A 20775-nucleotide genomic window follows, 5' to 3' on the forward strand; every position below is an offset into this window, starting at 1 on the left:
TATTAGCCCTGTGCACATATATACATAAATGGAGAGACAGAAAGAGAGAGAGAGAGATTGTAAGGATGTGCTCCAAACTGTAGATAGTGGAAGCTCGTGAAAAGGGACTCCACATTTTGCTAAAATCCAGATTGCTAAAATCTTTCACAATAAACATAGATTCATGTATTACTTGGGTGATATTTTTAATACTCTCCACTTCCAAATCCCCAACCATGATGTCAGTTAACATTTTTCCTTCTGTGGAATATTCTCATTCTGTGTGAGACAGGGCAGAGTCTAGCATGATCATTGTGCAGCTGGAGAAAGGTAAGCTGCTGGAGGTTAAGCCATTTGTCCACCTTCAGCCTTAGACCCCCTGGTCAGCCTGGCCTGGCACACAGAACCTTGTTTTCCCCCAACTCCACTCCATCCCATCTCTACCATGGGGTTCAGTCCTCAGTTGCCTTTATGACTTTAAAGTGTGTTTCTTCCTTCTTTAGGCTGTGCAAAGAGCTCTCACTCAAAATGTCTCACGCCTTTCTCTTGCCAACCCTAGCAAGTAGACAATATTATGACCTCATTTTTCAGATGAGGACACTGAGGCACAGAGTTGTATAGTAGTGTGCCTACGGTCACACAGCTAATAAGGGGCAGAGCTGGGCTTCAAAGTCACTTCTTTCTGATGTCAAGGCTTGTGTTCTTTCAAAATTTAATCAGTCATATATGCCCACAGTTCTTTCAAAATTTAAATAAGTCAGGTGTGCACACAGTTACTGCAGGTGCCCATCCATCCAAGAAAACCTCCTAGCAGGAAGCCCCTGCAAGGCAGGAGCCTCTCTGCTGCCAGTGCTGTGATCTTGCAACAGTCTTGGAGTCTTGCCTCCAGATCTGCAGGGCTCTCTGGGGAGTGCTGGCCTGGACCCACATCCAAGCTTGTGTCTGGGTCAGACTGTCCCAGCCAATAGGGCAGTCTGGAAGGTCAAATAAGAAGGGAGCCAGGGACTATGTTGAGCGCCTGGCCGCTCTCCCAGCAACAAGCTCTGGGAGAGCAAGAGCCGGAGGTCTGAATGAGTCAGCATAGTGGGAAGTGGAAATGATGACTCAGCTCTGGGCCCTGATTTTCCTCTTCTTTGTCTAAGAGATGAGTCATCGCCTTTATGCCTTTAATTTTCAGACTTCAAACTCATCCCAGCAATGTAGAGGAAGCTGATGAGGGAAAGCTCCCTGCAGCGTGGGCTGTGCCCCCAGGAGCCCCTGAGTTTAAATTCAGTCTCTGCTACTTACTAATCACAGGATGTTGGCAAATCGCTGAGCCTGCATCCCCCCATCTGTCAAATGGGGGTGCTAAGGCCTACCTGGCAAGATTCCTTCATCTGATCAGTGCCAGGCGCTGGGGAGATGATAGTAAATGACACAGACAAAATTCCTGCCCCCACAAAGCTTACATTCTGGCGAGGAAAGACAATAATGAACAAATCTATATGTACAACGTAAGGCCAGCTGGTGGGGAGCATGGTGAAGAAAAATTAAACGGGTGAGGTGTAGAAGTAAGAGGAGGTAAGAGGATTGAATGAGAAAGTCCCTCTAGAGAGTCTGGCACAGGGCCTTACACAGGCTAGGGCTTCAATAAATAAGCACAAATTGTCCTCTTTGTGGTTTAGGAATTAAAGGGCACATGGCTGTTAGGACTGAACAGACCTCCGCTCCCTGGAGGAGATGCAAGGTGGATGATCCCACAATGAGTTCCAGCACTGGGCCAAGGATTCCAGGTCCAGGGCAGTGAGAAAAAAGACACTCAGCTTTTATATATGTGTGTGTGTGTATATATATATATATATATAATATGTATACATATTATATATATATATAAAATATGTGTGCGTGTGTGTATATATATATAGAATGGGTGCATTATATATACAATACACATATATAATATATATCATATGTATACATCTCTTATACATATGATATATCATATGTATAATATGTGTGTGTGTGTGTATATATATAGAATGGGCGCAGTGGCTCATGCATGCCTGCAATCCCAGCCCTTTGGGAGGCTGAAGTGGGAGGATCCCTTGAGATCAGAAGTTTGAGGCCAGCCTAGGCAACATAGGGAGACCCTCCCCCCCGCCCCCAGCCATCTCTATAAAAATTAAAGAAAATTAGCTGGGCATGGTGACATGTGCCTGTAGTCCCAGCTACTCAGGAGGCTGAGACAGGAGGATCACCCAAGCCCAAGAGTTTGAGGTTGCAGTGAGCTATGATGATACCACTGCACTCCAGCCTGGGCAACAGAGGGAGACCCCATCTTCAAAAATAAATAAATAAGTAAATAAATAAATAGTTTTTATTGAGGTGAAACTCGCACAACATAAAATTAACCATTAACTATTTTAAAGTCAACAATGTAATGGCACTGAGTATATTCACAATGCTGTGCAACCACCCACGCCACCTCTATCTAGTTCCAAGACATTTTCGGCACCCAAAAGGAAACCCTGTGTCGAGTAAGCAGTCACTCCTCATTCATCCTGCTCCCTAGCCCCCGACAACCACTAATCTGCTTTCTGTATATTCGTTTACATTCTATTCTGGATGATTCACAGAAATGGGATCATGCAATATGTGACTTTTTGTGTCTGGCTTCTTTCACTAAACATAAAGTTTTTCGTTTTTGTGTTTTGAGACAGGGTTTCTCTCCCATTGCCCAGGCTGGAGTGTGGTGGCACACTCTTGGTTCACTATAAGCTCTGCCTCCCTGGCTCAAGAGATCCTCCTGCCTCAGCCTCCAGAGTAGCTGGGACTACAGGCATGCACCACCACACCGGGCTAATTTTTTAAATTTGTTTTTTGTATTTTTTGTAGAGACAGGGTTTCACCATGTTGGCCAGGCTGGTCTTGTACTCTTGACCTCAAGAGATCCTCCCTCCTTGGCCTCCCAAAGTGCTAGGATTATAGGCGTGAGCCACCGGCCTGGCTGAGTATAATGTTTTTGAGGCTGTTTCATGTTGTAGTATGCATCAATGCTTTGTTCCTTCTTATAGTTGAATAATAATCCATCGTGTGGGTATACCATCTATGTTTATTCATTCAACAGTTGAAGTGGTTTTTAAAATTTTAAACTTCTTTTGGTTTTGTTTTGAGACAGAGTGTCACTCCCTGTCGCCCAGGCTGTAGTGCAGTGGCTAAATCATAGCTCAGTGCAACCTTGACCTCCCACCTCAAGCAATCCTGCCTCACCTTCCTGGGACCACAGGTGTGCATCACCACGCCCAGCTAAATTTCTAATTTTTTGTAGAGATGGGGTCGCGCTATGTTGCCCAGGCTGGTCTCGAACTCCTCAAGTGGTCCTCTCACCTTGGCCTCCTAAAGCGCTGGGATCACAGGCCTGAGCCACTGCACCCAGCTCATTTCACCCTCGTGATGCTTTGCTTGCCTGGTCTTAGTCCCAGCCCTGGGAGATGATGTCAGGAATCACTGGGAGGGAGAGGGAGCGAAGGGTACAGGAAGGCCAGAACCAGCAAAAGGTGCAGATTATTGTGCGCAAATGGGGCTCCTCTGGGAGACCGTGAGGAGTATATGTCATGAAGCCCCAGTGGAGGGTGGGGAGCCTGAGGCTTTTATCCAAACAACTCCTAACGTGACTGGTTGAGGTGGCCCTCCGTACTGGAACTCCCCCGACATTTCCAGGGTGAGCCTGTGTTTGGTTGAGCTGAAGAGCGCCCCCAGGTGGAGAAGCGGAGCAATTCGGGCCCCTGAAATAGGAAGTGCTGAGTCAACTGGAAACCATCTCTTCTGCAGCTGCAGGTGAGCTCAGGTGAGCGAGGGGATACAGGTAGCATCATCAGCCCCTACCGGCACTTACGCGATGCTTGGGAGCTTTACAAATATCAGTTCACTGACTTTTTTTCTTTTTCGAGATTGAGTTTTGCTCTGTTGGCTGGAGTGCAGTGGCACAATCTCAGCTCACTGCAACCTCCACCTCCCGGGTTCAAGCGATTTTCCTGGCTCAGTCTCGCAAGTAATTGCGATTGCAGGTGTGCACCACCACACCAGGCTAATTTTTGTATTTTTAGTAGAGGCGGGATTCCACCATATTGGCTAGGTTGGCCTTGAACTCATGACCTCAGGTGATCCACCCGCCTCAGCCTCCCAAAGTGCTGGGATTACAGGTGTGAGCCACTGTGCCCAGCACAGTTCACTGACTTATCGTGACAGCCCTATAAAACAGGTATTGTCATTCTCCCCATTTTAAAGACGAAGATGCCGGGCGCGGTGGCTCACACCTGTAATACCAGCACTTTGGGAGGCCGAGGCGGGCGGATCACGAGGTCAGAAGTTCAAGACCAGCCTGGCCAATATGGTGAAACCCCATTTCTATCAAAAATACAAAAATTAGCCGGGCGTGGTGACGTGTGCCTGTAGTCTCAACTACTCGGGAGACTGAGGCAGAAGAATCACTGGAACTCGGGAGGTAGAGATTGCAGTGAGCCGAGATCGCACCACTGGACTCCAGCCTGGGCAACAGAGCAAGACTCTGTCTCAAAAATAAACAAGTAAATAAATAACTAAAAAAAAATAAAGATGAAGAAACTGAGGCCAATAACGTATCCAAGATCACGCAGCAAGTCGATTTCAGAGCAGGATTTAAACCCAGGAAGTCTGTGCTCCTCATGACCATGCACTGCTCTTGTCCACTCAGTTTTGCTTCCTTTCATGGTTTCCATGGGCACCAACTCCATCTGCAGACACCATGCCCACTACCCAGTTAGGGTGGCCAAATTTAGCAAATAAAAATACAGGATGCCCAGTGAAATGTGAATTTCAGAAAAACAATGAACAATTTTTTTAGTATTTTTTTAATAGGTAAAATATTGTGTGGGAGATACTTACACTAAAAAAAAATTGGCTGCTTATCTGAAATTCAAATGTAACTGGGTGTCCTGCATTTTATCTGGAAACCACATTCCTTCTCCTCACTATTCTCCTGGGGGTGGAACTAGAAGCTGGTGAGAGGGGTTAGAAGAAGCCCCCTATTGTTCTTTCCATTTTTTGCTTGTTTGTTTGTTTATTTTTGTTTTTGAGACAGAGTCTCACTCTGTTGTCCAGGCTGGAGTGCAGTGGTGCAACTTCGGCTCACTGCAACCTCCGCCTCCCAGGTTCAAGCGATTCTCCTGACTCAGCCTCCCAAGTAGCTGGGATTACAGGCACATGCCATCATGCCCGGCTAATTTTGTGTATTTTCAGTAGAGACGGGGTTTCACCATGTTGGCCGGGCTGATCTCGAACTCCTGACCTCTAGTGATCTGCCCGCCTCAGCCTCTCAAAGTGCTGGGATTACAGGAATGAGCCACCATGTCCAGCTCTTTCCATATGCTATGAAAGCTCCACCTCCCTTTTTCTTTTTCTTTTCTTTTTTTTAATTCAGACAGGGTCTTGCTCTGTTGCCCACACTGGAGTGCAGTGGAGTCATCTCAGCTCACTGTAGCCTCTGCTTCCTGGGCTCAAGTGATCCTCCCACCTCAGCCTCCCGAGTAGCTGGGACCACAGGCGCATGCCACCATGCCCGGCTAGTTTTTGTATTGTTTTGTAGAGATATGGTCTCCCCATGTTGCCCAGGCTGGGCTCAAGCAATCCTCCTGCCTCAACTTCCCAAAGTGCTGAGATTACAGACGTGAGCCACCACGCCCAACGAAGCTCAGATTTTTTTGATTTTTTTTTTTTTTTTTTTTCTGCCCAGGCTGGAGTGCAATGGCGCTATCTCATTGCAACCTCTACCTCCCAGGTTCAAGCCATTCTCCTGCATCAGCCTCCCAAGGAGCTGGGATTACAGGCGTCCACCACCACACCTGGCTAATCTGTATTTTTAGTAGGGATGGCGTTTCCCCATGTTGGTCAGGCTGGTCTTGAACTTCTGACCTCAGGTTATCCGCCTGCCTCGGCCTCCCAAAGCGCTGGGATTAGAGGCGTGTGCTCCCGCGCCCGGCCCTGAGCTCAACTTTTTAAGGTGGATTTGATATAACGGCTGTGTATTACTTAAGAGAACACGAGCCACCGTAACAAAGAAACCCTCAAAAGGACAAAAAAAACAAAAACAAAAACAAAAAACCCGAAAATAAACCCCCAAATCTCAGTGGCCTAACACAAGGAGAATTTATTTCTTGCTCATATAAAGTCCAAAACTGGTATTCCTGATAGGCAGGTGGCTCTCTTCCATTACCTGATCCAGGGACCCACGCTCCTGCTTGCTCGGGGCTCTGCTTTCTCCATCAGGATGAGTAAAATGCAGGAGCACGGAGGTCAGCCCAGGAGGTGGTTACTAGCAAGGCCACTAGCACGGGGTTGGGGGAATGCCTCTCCTTGCATTCCTTTGGCCCAAATCCAGTCACGTGCCCACCCTCAACAGCAAGGGATGCTGGGAAATGTAGTCCAGCCACAAGCCAAGGAGGTGGCCAGGAACAGCCTTTGGCCAACTCGGAGGCCCTGAGTGATCTGAGTCTGAGCTCACACCACCTTCCTCATTCACTACGCTGTAGGTACATTGATTCCTATAGTTCCCCCAAATGAAAACCTCTTTCCTACCTCAGCTTTTGCCCGGGCTATTCCTTCTGCCTAAAATGCCCTCCTCCTCTGTCCACCTGGCTGGTTCCTTGCCATCCTTCAGGTCTCAGCATGGGGATCCTCTTCTGAGAAGCCTCTTATGACCGTGCCATCAAAAAAAGATCCCTTCAGTCCAGGCTCGCTGGCTCATGCCTGTAATCCCAGCACTTTGGGAGGTCAGGGGTTCCAGACCAGCCTGGCCGACATGGTGAAACCCTGTCTCTACTAAAAATACAAAAATTAGCCTGGCGTGGTGGTACACACCTGTAATCCCAGCTACTTGGGAGGCTGAGACAGGAGAATCACTTGGACCTAGAGGCGGAGGTTGTGGTGAGCGGAGATCACACCGCTGCACTCCAGCCAAGGTGAAAGAGTGAGACTCCATCTCAAAAATAAAAAGAAAAAAAACCAGGCCAGGCGCAGTGGCTCATGCCTGTAATCCCAGCACTTTGGGAGGCCGAGGCAGGTGGGTCACCTGAGGTCAGGAGTTCGAGACCAGCCTGACCAACATGGAGAAACCCCATTTCTACTAAAAATACAAAATTAGCCAGACATGGTGGGGCATGTCCATAATCCTAGCTACTGGGGGGACTGAGGCAGGAGAATGGCTTGAACCCGGGAGGCAGAGGTTGCGGTGAGTGCATATTGCACCATTGCACTCCAGCCTGGGCAACAAGAGTGAGACTCTGTCTCAAAAAAAATAAATAAATAAAAATAAAAAACAAAAATGAAGACAAATAAACCCCTCCCACTAGTCTCTATCACAGATTTCTATTTTTTTTCCTCGTGGCACTCAACAATTTGTAATGATTATATCTGGTTTACCTATTTAGCATCCGTCTCCTTTGCTAGACTAGAAGCTCCATGAGAGCAGGAGCTGATCTCCCTTGTTCACAGTTGCACCTCCTGTTCCCAGCTCAGGGCCTGGCTCAGAGTAGAGCTTAACAAATATTAAGAGCACCTGGAGTGTAGTTGAATAATTAAATAAATGAACCCAACTTACAAAACATCCTGATGCCATATATCTTTAGGTCTGGCATATACAAGTTATACTTGTTGTCCAAATATTAATTAATGAAGTCTTTGCAATTTCCCCGAGGAGTTGGCTGAGGGTGCTTTCATGTCGATGATACAAGACACAAATAGAGCGAAATGATTTATTCTGGGTCACTGGTGACTCAGTGTCTGGGAATAGAAACATACTCAGAAACCTTTGCTCTAATTAGTCAAGGTAATTATTAGGCACAATAATTAAGCATGAATGACCTCAGCCAGGCTGTTTTGTAACCTCTGGAATTTAAGACCTGTACTAATTTTGCTTTAATGACAGTATTCGTTGTGGCTTGCCACAAACCCTTTTTGCTTTTCCTGAGAAATCAAACATATTTGCCTCAAAATATAGTATTTTCAATGATGAATGCTTTGATTGACTCACTGTCACATTCTGGAGTCATTCCTTACATTATTTCCCTCTAATATAATTTTTGTTTTTGTGGGATTCTTCTTTTGTGTTTTAGTTTTTGGTTATTTTTACAGGTCAATTCTAGTCCCATTAGAAACTCCCCCCCAGCCCATTTTATTATTGAATCAATATTTATTGTGGGCCAGGTGTGGTGGTTCATGACTGTAATCCCAAAACTTTGGGAGGCCCAGGTGGGAGGACCACTTGAGGCCAGGAGTTTGAGACCAGCATGCACAACATAGCAAGACCCCATCTCTACAAAAAATAGAAAATTAACCAGGCATGTTGGTGTGTGCCTGTGGCTGAGGCAGAGGATCACTTGAGTCCAAGCATTTGAGGCTGCACTGAGCTATGATTGTGCCACTGCACTCCAGCCTGCGCAACACAGCAAGCTCCTGTCTAAAAAAAAAAAAAAATTCCACCCCTTAGTGTAGGCAGGGTTCTATAAGGAACAAAACACAGTTCCCACCTTGAGAAACTTCTCTAGGCTGGGCGTGGTGTCTCACACCTATAATCCCAGCACTTTGGGAGGCCAAGGTGGGAGGATCACTTGAGGTCAGGAGTTTAAGACCAGCCTGGGAAATATGGTGAAACCTTGTCTCCACTAAAAATACAAAAATTAGCCAGACGTGGTGGTGGGTGCCTGTAGTCCAAGCTACTTGGGAGGTTGAGGCAAGAGAATCGCTTGAACCTTGGAGGCGGGAGGTGGAGGTTGCAGTGAGTGGAGATTGTGCCACTGCACTCCAGCCTGGGCAACAGAACAAGACTCCATCTCAAAAAAAAAAAAAAAAAAAAAAGAGAGAAGAGAAAAAACTTATCTACGTGTGTAATTGGTAGTATGAGGAGGATTTGTAACACTTTATTTATTCCTTTAGCATACTGTTTGCTATGACCTCACTCAGCCAACATCTCCTGTGGTCTTACACCAGGCAAGGCTTGGCAATGTATGAGTTTGCTCCTTTAATCTTCAAAGCCGACCTAGAGGAATGTGCTATTATTAGTATTATTATTCTTATCCCCAGTTTGCAGATGAGAAAACTATAGCATGAGGGTTTAAGTAACCTGCCCCCAAATCACACAGCTGGTAGTTAGATGATGGTGGCAGAATCTGAACCCAGGGAGTTGATATCTGAGCCTGTGCTCTTACCTTCATCCTACTCAACTCATGATACTACAATTTGTGATTGTCTAAAAAGGACCTTAACTTCTCTAATATTGCACATTGCCCCTATATATTCATGCAACGAGCATTTGCTGATGGTTTGAGACCCTGGGGCCAAATCCTGGCTTGGTCAGCAATTAGGATTGCAGATTTTGGTAACAAAAATACAGGTCAGGGCCGGGCGCGATGGCTCACACCGGTAATCCCTGCACTTTGGGAGGCTGAGGTGGGCAGATCATCTGAGGTCGGGAGTTAGAGACCAGACTGGCCCACACGGCGAAACCCCGTCTCTACTAAGAATACAAAAATTAGCCAGGCATGTTGGTGGGTGCCTGTAGTCCTAGCTACTGGGGAGGCTGAGACAGCAGAACCGCTTGAACCCGGGACACGGAGGTTGTAGTGAGCTGAGATTGCACCACTGTACTTCAGCCTGGGTGACAGAGCAAGACTCAGTCTCAAAAAAAAAAAAAAACACAAAACACAAAAAAACAGGTCACCCAGTTAAATATAAATTTCAGATAAACAACAATTTTTTTTTTTTTTTCGAGACAGAGTCTCGCTCTGTCGCCCAGGCTGGAGTGCAGTGGCACGATCTCGGCTCAAAGCAAGCTCCGCCTCCCGGGTTCACGCCATTCTCCTGCCTCAGCCTCCTCAGCAGCTGGGCCTACAGGTGCCGGCCACCATGCCCGGCTAATTTTTGTATTTTTAATAGAAATGGGGTTTCACCGTGTTAGCCAGGATGCTCTTGATATCCTGACCTTGTGATCCTCCTGCCTCAGCCTCCCAAAGTGCTGGGATTAAAGGTGTGAGCCACTGCACCCGGCCAACAACAATTTTTTTTTTAGCATAAGTATGTTCCATGCCATATTTTATTTTATTTTATTTTATCTGGCAACCCTGCAGGGAATTGCTGTGTGGCCTTGGGTAGGTCTCTCAAACTCCCTGGTCTCAGATTCCTTGTATTCAAAATGAACAGAACAATCCTCACTCACAGACTTGCTTTGAGAAGTAAATAAGAATGCTGCCAGGTGCAGTGGCTCACGCCTGTAATCCCTACAATTTGGGAGGCCAAGTTGGGTGGATCACTTGAGGTCAGAAGTTGGAGACCAGCCTGGGCATCATGGTGTAACCCCATCTCTATCAAAATACAAAAATTAGCTGGGCGTGGTGTCACACTCCTGTTGTCCTAACTATACTCGGGAGGGGGAGGCAGGAGAATCTCTTGAACCTGGGAGGTGGAGGTTGCAGTGAGCAGAGATTATGCCATTGCACTCCAGCCTGGGGTGACAGAGTGAGACTCTGTCTCAAAAAAAAAAAAAAAAAAAAAGAATGCTTATAAAGCACTTGGAATGCTGCAGTGCCTCCTAGCTGGTCTTTTTATAGGTAGACCCCTCCAAATTGTGCTCTGTGCATTAGCTAGGCTACAGGAGACTTTTATCTTAAATTAATTAATTAACTAGTTAATTAATCTTTAGAGAGAGGGTCTCAATCTGTTGCCCAGGCTGGAGTGCAGTGGCATGATCATAGCTCATTGCAGCCTCAAACTCCTGGGCTCAAGCAATCCTTCTGCCTCAGCCTCCTAAGTAACTGGGACTACAGACATGCACCACACTTGGCTAATTTTTTTTTTATTTTTATTTTAAGAGAGGGTCTTGATATGTTGCCCAGGCTGGTCTTGAACTCCTGGTCTCAAGGGATCCTCCCATCTTGATCTCCCAGAGGGGACTTTTAAAATCAGGCCACTGTCTATTGAAAACTCTCAAAAATTCCCATGGCCGGCTGGGCATGGTGGCTCAAGCCTGTAATCTTGGCACTTTGGGAGGCCAAGGTGGCTGGATCACTTGAGGTCAGGAGTTTGAGACCAGCCTGGCTAACATGGTGAAACCCTGTCTACTAAAAACAGAAAAATTAGCCAGGCATCGTGTGGCGCATACCTGTAATCCCAGCTACTTGGAAGGCTGAGGAAGAAGAATCACTTGAACCCAGGAAGTGGAGGCTGCAGTGAGCAGAGATCATGCCACTACACTTCAGCAGCCTGGGTGACACAGTCAGACTCTGTCTCAAAAAAAAAAAAAAAAAAAAAATTCCCATGGCATCTAGACTAAAGCCCAAAGGGTACAAGGAAAGCACTTGAAGTGAAGGAGGAGAGAAGATGGTTGGGGATTTGAAACGAGATGCTGAAATAATCTAGGACAATACAGCCAAGCATATTTGAAGCCATCCTTCTCTTCTGGCCTTTTCTGTCCCTCTCCACAAGGCCACCCTACTTCAGACCTCACTTGCTCCTGCAGCTGCTACCCTTCTCACTGGTCTCTCTCTTCTATGTGAAAAATAACAACCGGCCAGGTGCAGTGGCTCACGCTTGTAATCCTAGCACTTTGGGAGGCCAAGGCGGGTAGATCACGAAGTCAAGAGATCGAGACCATCCTGCCTAACATAGTGAAACCCCGTCTCTACTAAAAATACATAAAAATTAGCCATGTGTGGTGGCGGGCGCCTGTAGTCCCAGCTACTCCGGAGGCTGAGGAAGGAGAATGGCGTGAACCCGAGAGGCGGAGCTTGCAGTGAGCCGAGATCGTGCCACTGCACTCCAGCCTGGGCGACAGAGCCAGACTCCGTCTCAAAAAAAACAAAGAAAGAAAAATAACAACCAATTTTTTTTTCATTATAGACATTTTCAAAAGATATACAAAAGTAGAGTGACTAGAATAAAGAACCCAACTTCAACCAGCTCATCAGCTCATGGCCAATCCAGTTTCAGTCAGTCCTCAACTCATTGGAATTTTAAATTCCTCCTCCAGGGATTTTTTTCTTTTCTTTTCTTTCTTTTTTTTTTTTTTTTTTTTGAGACAGAGTTTCGCTCTTGTTGCCCACGCTGGAGTGCAATGGCGCAATCTCGGCTCACTGCAACCTCCGCCTCCCAGGTTCAAGTGATTCTTCTGTCTCGGCCTCCTGAGTAGCTGGGATAGTAGTACCAGGCGCACACCACCACGCCCGGCTAATTTTTTGTATTTTTAGTAGAAGCGGGGTTTCACCATGTTAGCCAGGCTGGTCTCAAACTCCTGATTTCAGGTGATCCGCCTACCTCGGCCTCCCAAAGTGCTGGGATTACAGGCGTGAGTCACCGCACCTGGCTGGATTTTTTTCTTTTATGTTGAAAAATTTCAGTCTCAGGGACAGGATAATATGACTTTTCTTTTCTTTTTTTTTGAGACAGAGTCTTGCTCTGTTGCCCGGGCTGGAGTGCAGTGGTGCAATCTCGGCTCACTGCAACCTCCACCTCCCAGGTTCAAGCGATTCTGCTGCCTCAGCCACCGAGTAGCTGGGATTACAGGCGCACACCACCACGCCCAGCTAATTTTTGTATTTTTAGTGGAGATGGGGTTTTGCCATGTTGGCCAAGTTTGTCTCGAATTCCTGGCCTCAAGTGATCCTCCCGCCTCACCCTCCCAAAGTACTGGAATTATAGGCGTGAGCCACCACGCCTGGCCCTAACTTTTTGTCAGTTCTCCTGTAGTAAATCTCTTGTTTGTTGTGGTGTAGACTTTATTCCAAGATAGCTTCAGGGATTTGCTTTGAATCCCTGATTCAAAGTTTTGATACTCAAAACCAAGTTAAAAGAACTAGAAAAAAAGAAAAGATAGAAAACAAAGAAAAAGGAAAAAGATCCTCTTTTTGCAAATCAGAAGTCTTGGCTTTCTTTCTTTTTTTTTTTTTTTTGAGACGGAGTCTCGCTCCGTCGCCCAGGCTGGGGTCCAGTGGCGCGATCTCGGCTCACCACAAGCTCCGCCTCCCGGGTTCACGCCATTCTCCTGCCTCAGCCTCCCGAGTAGCTGGGACTACAGGTGCCCGCCACCACGCCTGGCTAGTTTTTTTTGTATTTTTAGTAGAGACGCAGTTTCACTGTGTTAGCCAGGATGGTCTCGATTTCCTGACCTCGTGATCCGCCCGCCTCAGCCCCCCAAAGTGCTGGGATTACAGGCGTGAGCCAGCGCGCCCGGCCGAGGCTTGGCTTTCAAAATGATTCCTTCAGGGATTTGCTTTGAATTCAGAATCTGATACTCAAAATTAAATATGGAGAAGAAGGAAGGGAGGAAGGAAGGGAGGAAGCAAGGGAGGAATGGAGGAAGGAAAGAAAGAAAAAGGAAAAAAGCCTCTTTTTAAAAATCTTGCAAATCAAAAACCTTGGCTTTCAAAATTATTATTTCTGCCATGAATTTCAAAAGCTTACTTGGGAACTCATAAAATAAAAAAAATTTGGCTCTTTCTTCTTTTCTTGGTTTGAGTCAAACCTTTCCAATTGGTTTATCCAGTATGATTCAGCCTCAGCCTTAATATATGATTTTTATGGGGAGAGGGGTCACAGGGTTTTTCAGAAAAGGAAAATAAGCATAATATTGCAACATGTGCAAAAAATGTCACCCATTGCTGTTTTTATTGTTGTTAAAGTAATTTTAGTGAACTTAAGCTATTTATCAGAATATCTACTGGCTGTGATGCTCACTATCCTGTTTTTTTCCCTGTGACTTTAACCTCTTCAATTATAATTTCTCCTAATATAAAGTTTTGCATGTCCAGGCATCGTGGCTCATGCCTGTAATCCTAGCACTTTGGGAGGCTGAGGCGGGCAGATTGCCTGAGCTCAGGAGTTTGAGACCAGCCTGGGCAACAAAGTGAAAGCCCTTCTCTACTAAAAAACACAAAAATTAGCCAAGTATGGTGGTGCTTGCCTGTAGTCCCAGCTATCTGAGTGGCTGAGGTATGAGAATGGCTTGAAACTGGGAGGTGGAGGTGGTAGTGAGCTGAGATCGGGCCACTGCACTCCAGCCTGGGCGACAGAATGAGACTCTGGCTCAAAAAAACAAAAAACAGTTTTGAAAGATGCTAACTCCCAAGTTTGGGGTAGTTCTCTCTCTCTTTCTTTCTTTCTCTCTTTCTGTCTCTCTCTCTCTCTTTCTCTCTTTCTTTCTTTTCTTTCTTTCTTTCTTTCTTTCTTTCTTTCTTTCTTTCTTTCTTTATTTCTTTCTTGCTTGCTTCCTTTCTTCCTTTCTTCCTTTCTGTAGAGTTAGGGTCTCACTTTGTTGCCCAGGCTGGTCTTGCACTCGTGGCTTCAAGCAATCCTCCTGCCTTGACCTCCCAAAGTGCTGGGATTACAGATTACATGTGTGAGCCACCATCTCCAGCCTGGGGTGGTTATTTTTCATTTAATATGTCAATATCCCAGGTGTTTCTGCAAAAGCAGCATCTTGGGTCTCTGCACTGTTGCACACTCACAAGCCAGTGTCTTAGAGGTCACCTAAAGTTCCATGTCATTTGGAAGTCTGACACTCCAGTTTACCCTTGCATCATCGGATCCCCTTAGTCATAAGCACTGGCATTAATGTTGAAGTTAGGCACCTGTTAAAGCAAAGTCAGATTTTTCTTTTCACGCAGATCCACTGGGAAATTTCCCAATACTGTGTTTATCAAAACTAAAAGCCTCGTAGAATCAGGATTCATCCAGACAGCATGATTTAGGCCCAAACATAATATAGATATACAGAAGGGGAAGGAAGGATGGTTAGCGGTTAGAACCACTTACTGAGAATAGAATCACTTATGTTTATTCTCAGCTCAGCCAACAGCTTCCCTGGCAACCCAAAGTGCCACAGCTGGGCTCAGCTTCCTCATGGGCAGTTTTCCTGGTGATAAAATCAGAATAGCCTGTGTCCTTACAGCCAGAGGTAAGAGAGCTTGTGTTTTTTTTTTAAGTGGCCCCAATTGTTACAGTTGGGTGTGCCTTGATTTTTTTTTTCATTAATAAGAAACTTTTTATTTTATTTTAGTTTATTTTTTGAGGCAGGGTCTTGCTTTGTCACCCAGGCTGGAGTGCAGTGGGATGAACATGGCTCACTGCAGCCACGACCTCCCAGGCTCAAGCCATCCTCCTACCTCAGCCTCCCGAGTAGTTGGGACTACACGCGTGTGCTATCAAGAACAGTAAATTTTTGTATTTCTTGTAGAGACGGGGTTTCACCATGTTGCCCAGGCTGGTCTCGAATTCCTGAGCTCCAGCGATTCTTTCACCTCAGCCTCTCAACTTGCTGGGATTACAGGCGTGAGCCACCGCACCTGGCCATTTTAATAATTTTTGCTGCATAGATCTACTTAAAGGAAGATTAGTTTTAACCTATTTGATTTTAGTTCATCCTTTAAATAAAGGCTTTTTATGTTTTTTTCAGATAGAAGACATTTTATTACATTAAGAATATCATGCTGGCTGGGTGCTGTGGCACATGCCTTGTAATCCCAGCAATTTGGGAGGCAAAGGCAGGCAGATCATTTGAGGTCAGAGTTTGAGAACAGCCTGGCCAACATGGTGAAACCTCGTGTCTACTAAAAATACAAAAATTAATGAGGCGTGGTGGCCCGCACCTGCGATCCCAGCTCCTCAGGAGGCTGAAGCAGGAGAATCGCTTGAATGCGGGAGGCAGAGGCTGCAATGAGCTGAGATTGTGCCACTGCACCCCGTGGCCTGGGCAATGGAAACTCTATCTCAAAAAAAAAAAAGAATATCATGCTGAAGCAATTTGCAGAGATTTTTTAAACCCATATTTAACATCCAGTGTTAGTGAGGATGTAGATAAACAGAAGTTTCATTGGCTGTCTGGGGTAAGGAAAGAGGGAAATCAGGAGAGATTTTGGCAATTCATATCCAAAGCCTTAAAATGTGCCATCTGAGGCCGGGCGCGGTGGCTTACGCCTGTAATCCCAAAACTTTGGGGGGCCAAGGCGGGTGGATCACGTGAGGTCAGGAGTTCGAGACCAGTCTGGCAAACACAGTGAAATCCCGTCTCTACTAAAAATACAAAAAAAATTAGCCGGACATGGTGGCATGCGCCTGTAATCCCAGCTACTCGGGAGGCTGAGACAGGAGAATCCAGTGAACCCGGGAGGTGAAGGTTGCAGTGAGCCAAGATCACGCCACTGCACTCCAGGCCAGGTGACAGTGCGAGACTCTGTCTCAAAATAAAATAAAATAAAATATGCCATGTGAATCCATCAATTCTACCTTTAGAAATTCATATGAGGAGGCCAGTCTTGGTGGCTCACACCTATAATCCCAGCACTTTGGAAGGCCAAGGCGGGTGGATCACCTGAGGTCAGGAGTTCAAGACCAGCCTGACCAACATGGAGAAACCCAGTCTCTACTACAAATACAAAATTAGCCGGCCGTGGTGGTGCATGCTTGTAATCCTAGCAACCCGGGAGGCTGAGGCAGGAGAATCGCTTGAATCTGGGAGGCGGAGGTTTCGGCGAACTGAGATCACACCGTTGCACTCCAGCCTGGGCAACAAGAGCAAAACGCCATCTCAAAAAAAAAAAAAAAAGAAAAGAAAAGAAAAGAGAAAGAAATTTATATGAGGAAAACAAATGTGCATGCAAAGATTTAGCTAAGAAAAACCCCTCATAATGATATTATTTGTAAGCCTGGACAACATAGCGAGACCATGTCTCTGTGAAAAAAAAAAAAATAGCTGGGTGTAGTGACTGACACCTGTAGTCCCAGCTACTCAGGAGGCTGAGGAGGGAGAATTGCTTGATCCCAGGTGTTCCAGGCTGCAGTGAGCCATGATTGCACCCTGTCCTCCACCCTGAGTGACAGAGAGACCCTGTATGAAAAATAAACAAAGGCGGGTGAGGTGGCTCACACCTGTAATCCCAGCACACTGGGAGGCTGAGGTGGACAGATTGTTTGAGTTCACAAGTTCAAGACCAGCCTGGGCAGAATGGCAAAACCACACTGCTACAAAAATTTTTTAAAACATTAGCCAGGTATGGTGGTGTGCCTGTAGTACCAGCTACTCAGGAGGCTGAGGTGGGAGGATCGTTTGAGCCTGGGAGGCAGAGGTTGCAGTGAACTGAGATCACAACACTGCACTTCAGCCTGGGCAATAAAACCAGACCTTGTCTCAAAAAATAAAATAAAAATAAGTAAATAAAATAAATAAATAATATTATTTGTGGGAACCAAGGGATGAAAATAGCCCAAGTGCTCCCAAACAGAAAATTAGCTTTAATGTTGATGACACAACTCCACAATCCAATTCCAAACAATTACTTTAAAAGGATGTAAAGACATAGGCCAGGTTCAATGGCTCATGCCTGTAATCCCAGCCCTTTGGGAGGCCAAGGCGGGTAGATCATTTCAGGTCAGGAGTTTGAGACCAGCCTGGCCAGCACGGTGAAACCCCATCTCTACTAAAAATACAAAAATTAGGCCGGGTGCAGTGGCTCACACCTGTAATCCCAGCACTTTGGGAGGCCGAGGTGGGCGGATCATGAGGTCAGGAGATCGAGACCATCCTGGTTAAAACGGTGAAACCCCATCTCTACTAAAAACACAAAAAATTAACCGGGCGTGGTGACGGGTGCCTGTAGTCCCAGCTACTCGGGAGGCTGAGGCAGAAGAATGGCATGAACCCGGGAGGCAGAGCTTGCAGTGAGCTGAGATTGTGCCACTGCACTCCATCCAGCCTGGGCGAGAGAGCGACACTCCGCCTCAAAAAAAAAAAAAAAATTAGCTGGGCATGGTAGTGCGTGCTTGTAGTCTCAGCTACTTGGGAGGCTGAGGCAGGAGAATCACTTAAGCCCAGGAGGTGGAGGTTCCAGTGAGCCGAGATGGTGCCATGCACTCCAGCCTGAATGACACAGCAGGACTCTGTCTAAAAAAAAAAGGGATGAGAACATAAAAAGATGGTCATGATTTATTAAGTAAAAAAAAACAAAAAACAAAAAACTGGGCCAGATGTGGTGGCTCATGCCTGTAATCCCAGCATTTTGGGAGGCCAAGGCGGGTGGATCACTTGAGGTCAGGAGTTCGAGACCAGTCTGACCGACATGGAGAAACCCCCGTCTGTATTAAAAATACAAAATTAGCCAGGCGTGGCAGCACATGCCTGTAATCCCAGCTACTTGGTAGGCTGAAGGAGGAGAATCACTTGAACCCGGGAGGCTGGGGTTGGGGTGAGCCAAGATCACGCTGTTGCACTCCAGCCTGGGCAACAAGAGCAAAACTCCGTCTCAAAAAACAAAAACAAAAACAAAAACAAAAACAAAAACAAGTGTAGTGGCTCATACCTAGAATCCCAGCACCCTGGGAGGCTGAGGCAGGAGGATCACTTGAGGCCAGGTGTCTGAGACCAGCCTGACCAACATAGCAAGACCCTGCCTCTACCAAAAAAAAAAAAGGCAAATTAGTGGGGTATGGTGGCTCATGCCTGTAATCCCAGCTACTTTGGAGACTGAGGTGAGAGGATCACTTGAGTCAGAAGTTCAAGACTGCAGTAAGCTATGATTGTGCCACTTCATGCCAGCCTGGACAACGGAGCAAGACCCTGCCTCTAAAGATATAATTTTTAAGAAAGAAAAAATTAAGAATAGTATGTAAAGGAAAATTCTAATTTTATAAAACACATATGCATAGAAAATGTAATGGAAAGATATCTATGAAAATATTACGTTACACTTGTTTTTGGGTGGTCGGTCACTAGTTTGATTGGCTGTGTCTTCTCATTTATCTGCACTTTATAGTTTTGTTTGTTCATTTATTTATTTATTTTGAGACGGAGTTTTGCTCTTGTTGCCCAGGCTGGAGTGCAATGGCACGATCTCGGCTCGCTGCAACATCTGCCTCCCAGGTTCAAGAGATTCTCCTGCCTCAGCCTCTTGAGTAGCTGGGATTACCGGTACAGGCCATCATGCCCAGCTAATTTTGTATTTTTAATAGAGACGGGGTTTCACCATATTGGCCAGGCTGGTCTCGAACTCCTGACCTCAGTTGATCCACCTGCCTCGGTCTCCCAAACTTCTGGGATTACAGGCGTGAGCCACCATGCCTGGCTAAAATACATTTTTGAACAATGAGTTTCATGAGCTTCTGGGTTGGTGAACACATCCAGGTGCTGGGAGAGCAACACACCTGGAGGGGTCATGGAAGCTCCAAGCCCCCGCTCCCCTGTCTTTACCAGTAATATTAAGTGCAGCGTTTTCCTGAGTTCTATGAGCTGTTCTAGCAAATTACTGAACCTAATGAGGGGCTTGTGGGAACCCCCAATTTATGTCTGGTCAGTCAGAAGTATGGATGCCCCAGACTTGGGATTGGCACCTGAAGTGGGGCAGTCTTGTGGGACGAAGCCCTTCATCTGTGGGGTTTGAGGCTAACCCCGGGCAGCATCAGAATTGCATTACGTTGCATTGCTGGACACCCAGTTGGTGTGTGGAGAATTGGAGAATTGGTTGTTGATGTGGAAAAAGCCCATCAATTTGATTAGAAACCTCTTTGTGCCTTAACTCTATCTTTATATATATATATGTTACATCATTTTTTGTTTTTGTTTTTGTTTTTGAGATGGAGTCTCACTCTGTTGCTCAGGCTGGAATGCAGGGGTGTGATCTCGGCTCACTGCAACCTCCGCCCCCTGGGTTCAAGCGATTCTCCTGCCTCAGCCTCCCAAGGAGCTGAGACTACAGGTGCACGCCACCACACCCAGCTAATTTTTGTATTTTTAGTAGAGACAGGGTTTCACCATGTTGGCCAGGCTCGTCTGGAACTCCTGACCTCAAGTGATCCACCCTCCTTGGCTTCCCAAAGTGCTGAGATTACAGACCTGAGCCCGAATGAACTTGCTTGATTGTCATGCTCACGTCTCCACCCTGGGAGGAGCTATAGCTTGTGACCATCGCATGTGACCTAGGTGCTGGCATGATTACTTACTGAGTCTGTGCCATGGAGACCCCTCCTCTATGTGGAATGACGCACCATCTCCCCTCTCCATCACCGCATAAAACCCTTCTGTCACTTTCCCTCAGAGAGACACTGCTTTCGAGAATACTCCCAGCTGTCCTCCTTACTTCTGCCATGTAATAAAACTATTGGTGGCCGGGCGTGGTGGCTCACGCCTGTAATCCTAGCACTTTGGGAGGCTGAGGCAGGTGGATCAAGAGGTCAGGAGATCGAGACCATCTTGGCTAATACAGTGAAATCCTGTCTCTACTAAAAATACAAAAAAAAAAAAATTATCTGGGCGTGGTGGCAGGCGCCTATAGTCCCAGCTACTCGGGAGGGTGAGGCAGGAGAATGGCGTGAACCCAGAAGGCAGAGCTTACAGTGAGCCGAGATCGCGCCACTGCACTCCAGCCTGGGAGACATAGCGAGACTCTGTCTCAAAACAAAACAAAAACAAAAACAAAAACTACTGGCCTGGCATGGTGGCTCATGCCTGTAATCCAGCATTCTGGGAGGCCGAAGTGGGTGGATCACTTGAGGTCAGGAGTTCGAGACCAGCCTGGCCAACATGGCGAAACGTTATGTCTACTAAAAATACAAAAGTCAGCTGGGCATGGTGGCATGGGCCTGTAATCCCAGCTCCTCGGGAGGCTGAGGCAGGATGATCACTAGAACCCAGGAGGCAGAAGTTGCAGTGAGCTGAGATCGTGCCATTGCACTCCAGCCTGGGAGACAGAGCAAGACTCCTCTCAAAAATGAAAAATAAAAAATAAATTAGCTGGGCTTGGTGGCACA

General features: G+C 46.5%; 6 annotated features.

The window, feature by feature from the left end:
- Positions 266-1465: an enhancer, noted in NCBI's record as "P300/CBP strongly-dependent group 1 enhancer chr16:9141017-9142216 (GRCh37/hg19 assembly coordinates)". NCBI's record gives its function as "activates an origin of replication core promoter dependent on BRD2, BRD4, P300/CBP, MED14 and CDK7 cofactors, with strong dependence on P300/CBP, by STARR-seq in HCT116 cells {active_cell/tissue: HCT116}" and the evidence as "EXISTENCE:reporter gene assay evidence [ECO:0000049][PMID:35650434]".
- Positions 762-861: an enhancer, noted in NCBI's record as "active region_10369". NCBI's record gives its function as "activates an Ori minimal core promoter by ATAC-STARR-seq in GM12878 lymphoblastoid cells {active_cell/tissue: GM12878}" and the evidence as "EXISTENCE:reporter gene assay evidence [ECO:0000049][PMID:35858748]".
- Positions 918-1212: an enhancer, noted in NCBI's record as "tiled region #8137; HepG2 Activating DNase unmatched - State 1:Tss, and K562 Activating DNase unmatched - State 5:Enh". NCBI's record gives its function as "activates a minimal TATA promoter and a strong SV40 promoter by Sharpr-MPRA in HepG2 and K562 cells {active_cell/tissue: HepG2 | K562}" and the evidence as "EXISTENCE:reporter gene assay evidence [ECO:0000049][PMID:27701403]".
- Positions 2889-3681: an enhancer, noted in NCBI's record as "H3K27ac hESC enhancer chr16:9143640-9144432 (GRCh37/hg19 assembly coordinates)". NCBI's record gives its function as "activates a minimal SCP1, AML or CMV promoter by ChIP-STARR-seq in primed H9 embryonic stem cells {active_cell/tissue: H9 hESC(primed)}" and the evidence as "EXISTENCE:reporter gene assay evidence [ECO:0000049][PMID:30033119]".
- Positions 3682-4472: an enhancer, noted in NCBI's record as "H3K27ac hESC enhancer chr16:9144433-9145223 (GRCh37/hg19 assembly coordinates)". NCBI's record gives its function as "activates a minimal SCP1, AML or CMV promoter by ChIP-STARR-seq in primed H9 embryonic stem cells {active_cell/tissue: H9 hESC(primed)}" and the evidence as "EXISTENCE:reporter gene assay evidence [ECO:0000049][PMID:30033119]".
- Positions 6028-6565: an enhancer, noted in NCBI's record as "H3K27ac hESC enhancer chr16:9146779-9147316 (GRCh37/hg19 assembly coordinates)". NCBI's record gives its function as "activates a minimal SCP1, AML or CMV promoter by ChIP-STARR-seq in primed H9 embryonic stem cells {active_cell/tissue: H9 hESC(primed)}" and the evidence as "EXISTENCE:reporter gene assay evidence [ECO:0000049][PMID:30033119]".

Source organism: Homo sapiens, chromosome 16 (genome assembly GCF_000001405.40).
Source record: "Homo sapiens chromosome 16, GRCh38.p14 Primary Assembly".
Lineage (NCBI taxonomy): Eukaryota > Metazoa > Chordata > Mammalia > Primates > Hominidae > Homo > Homo sapiens.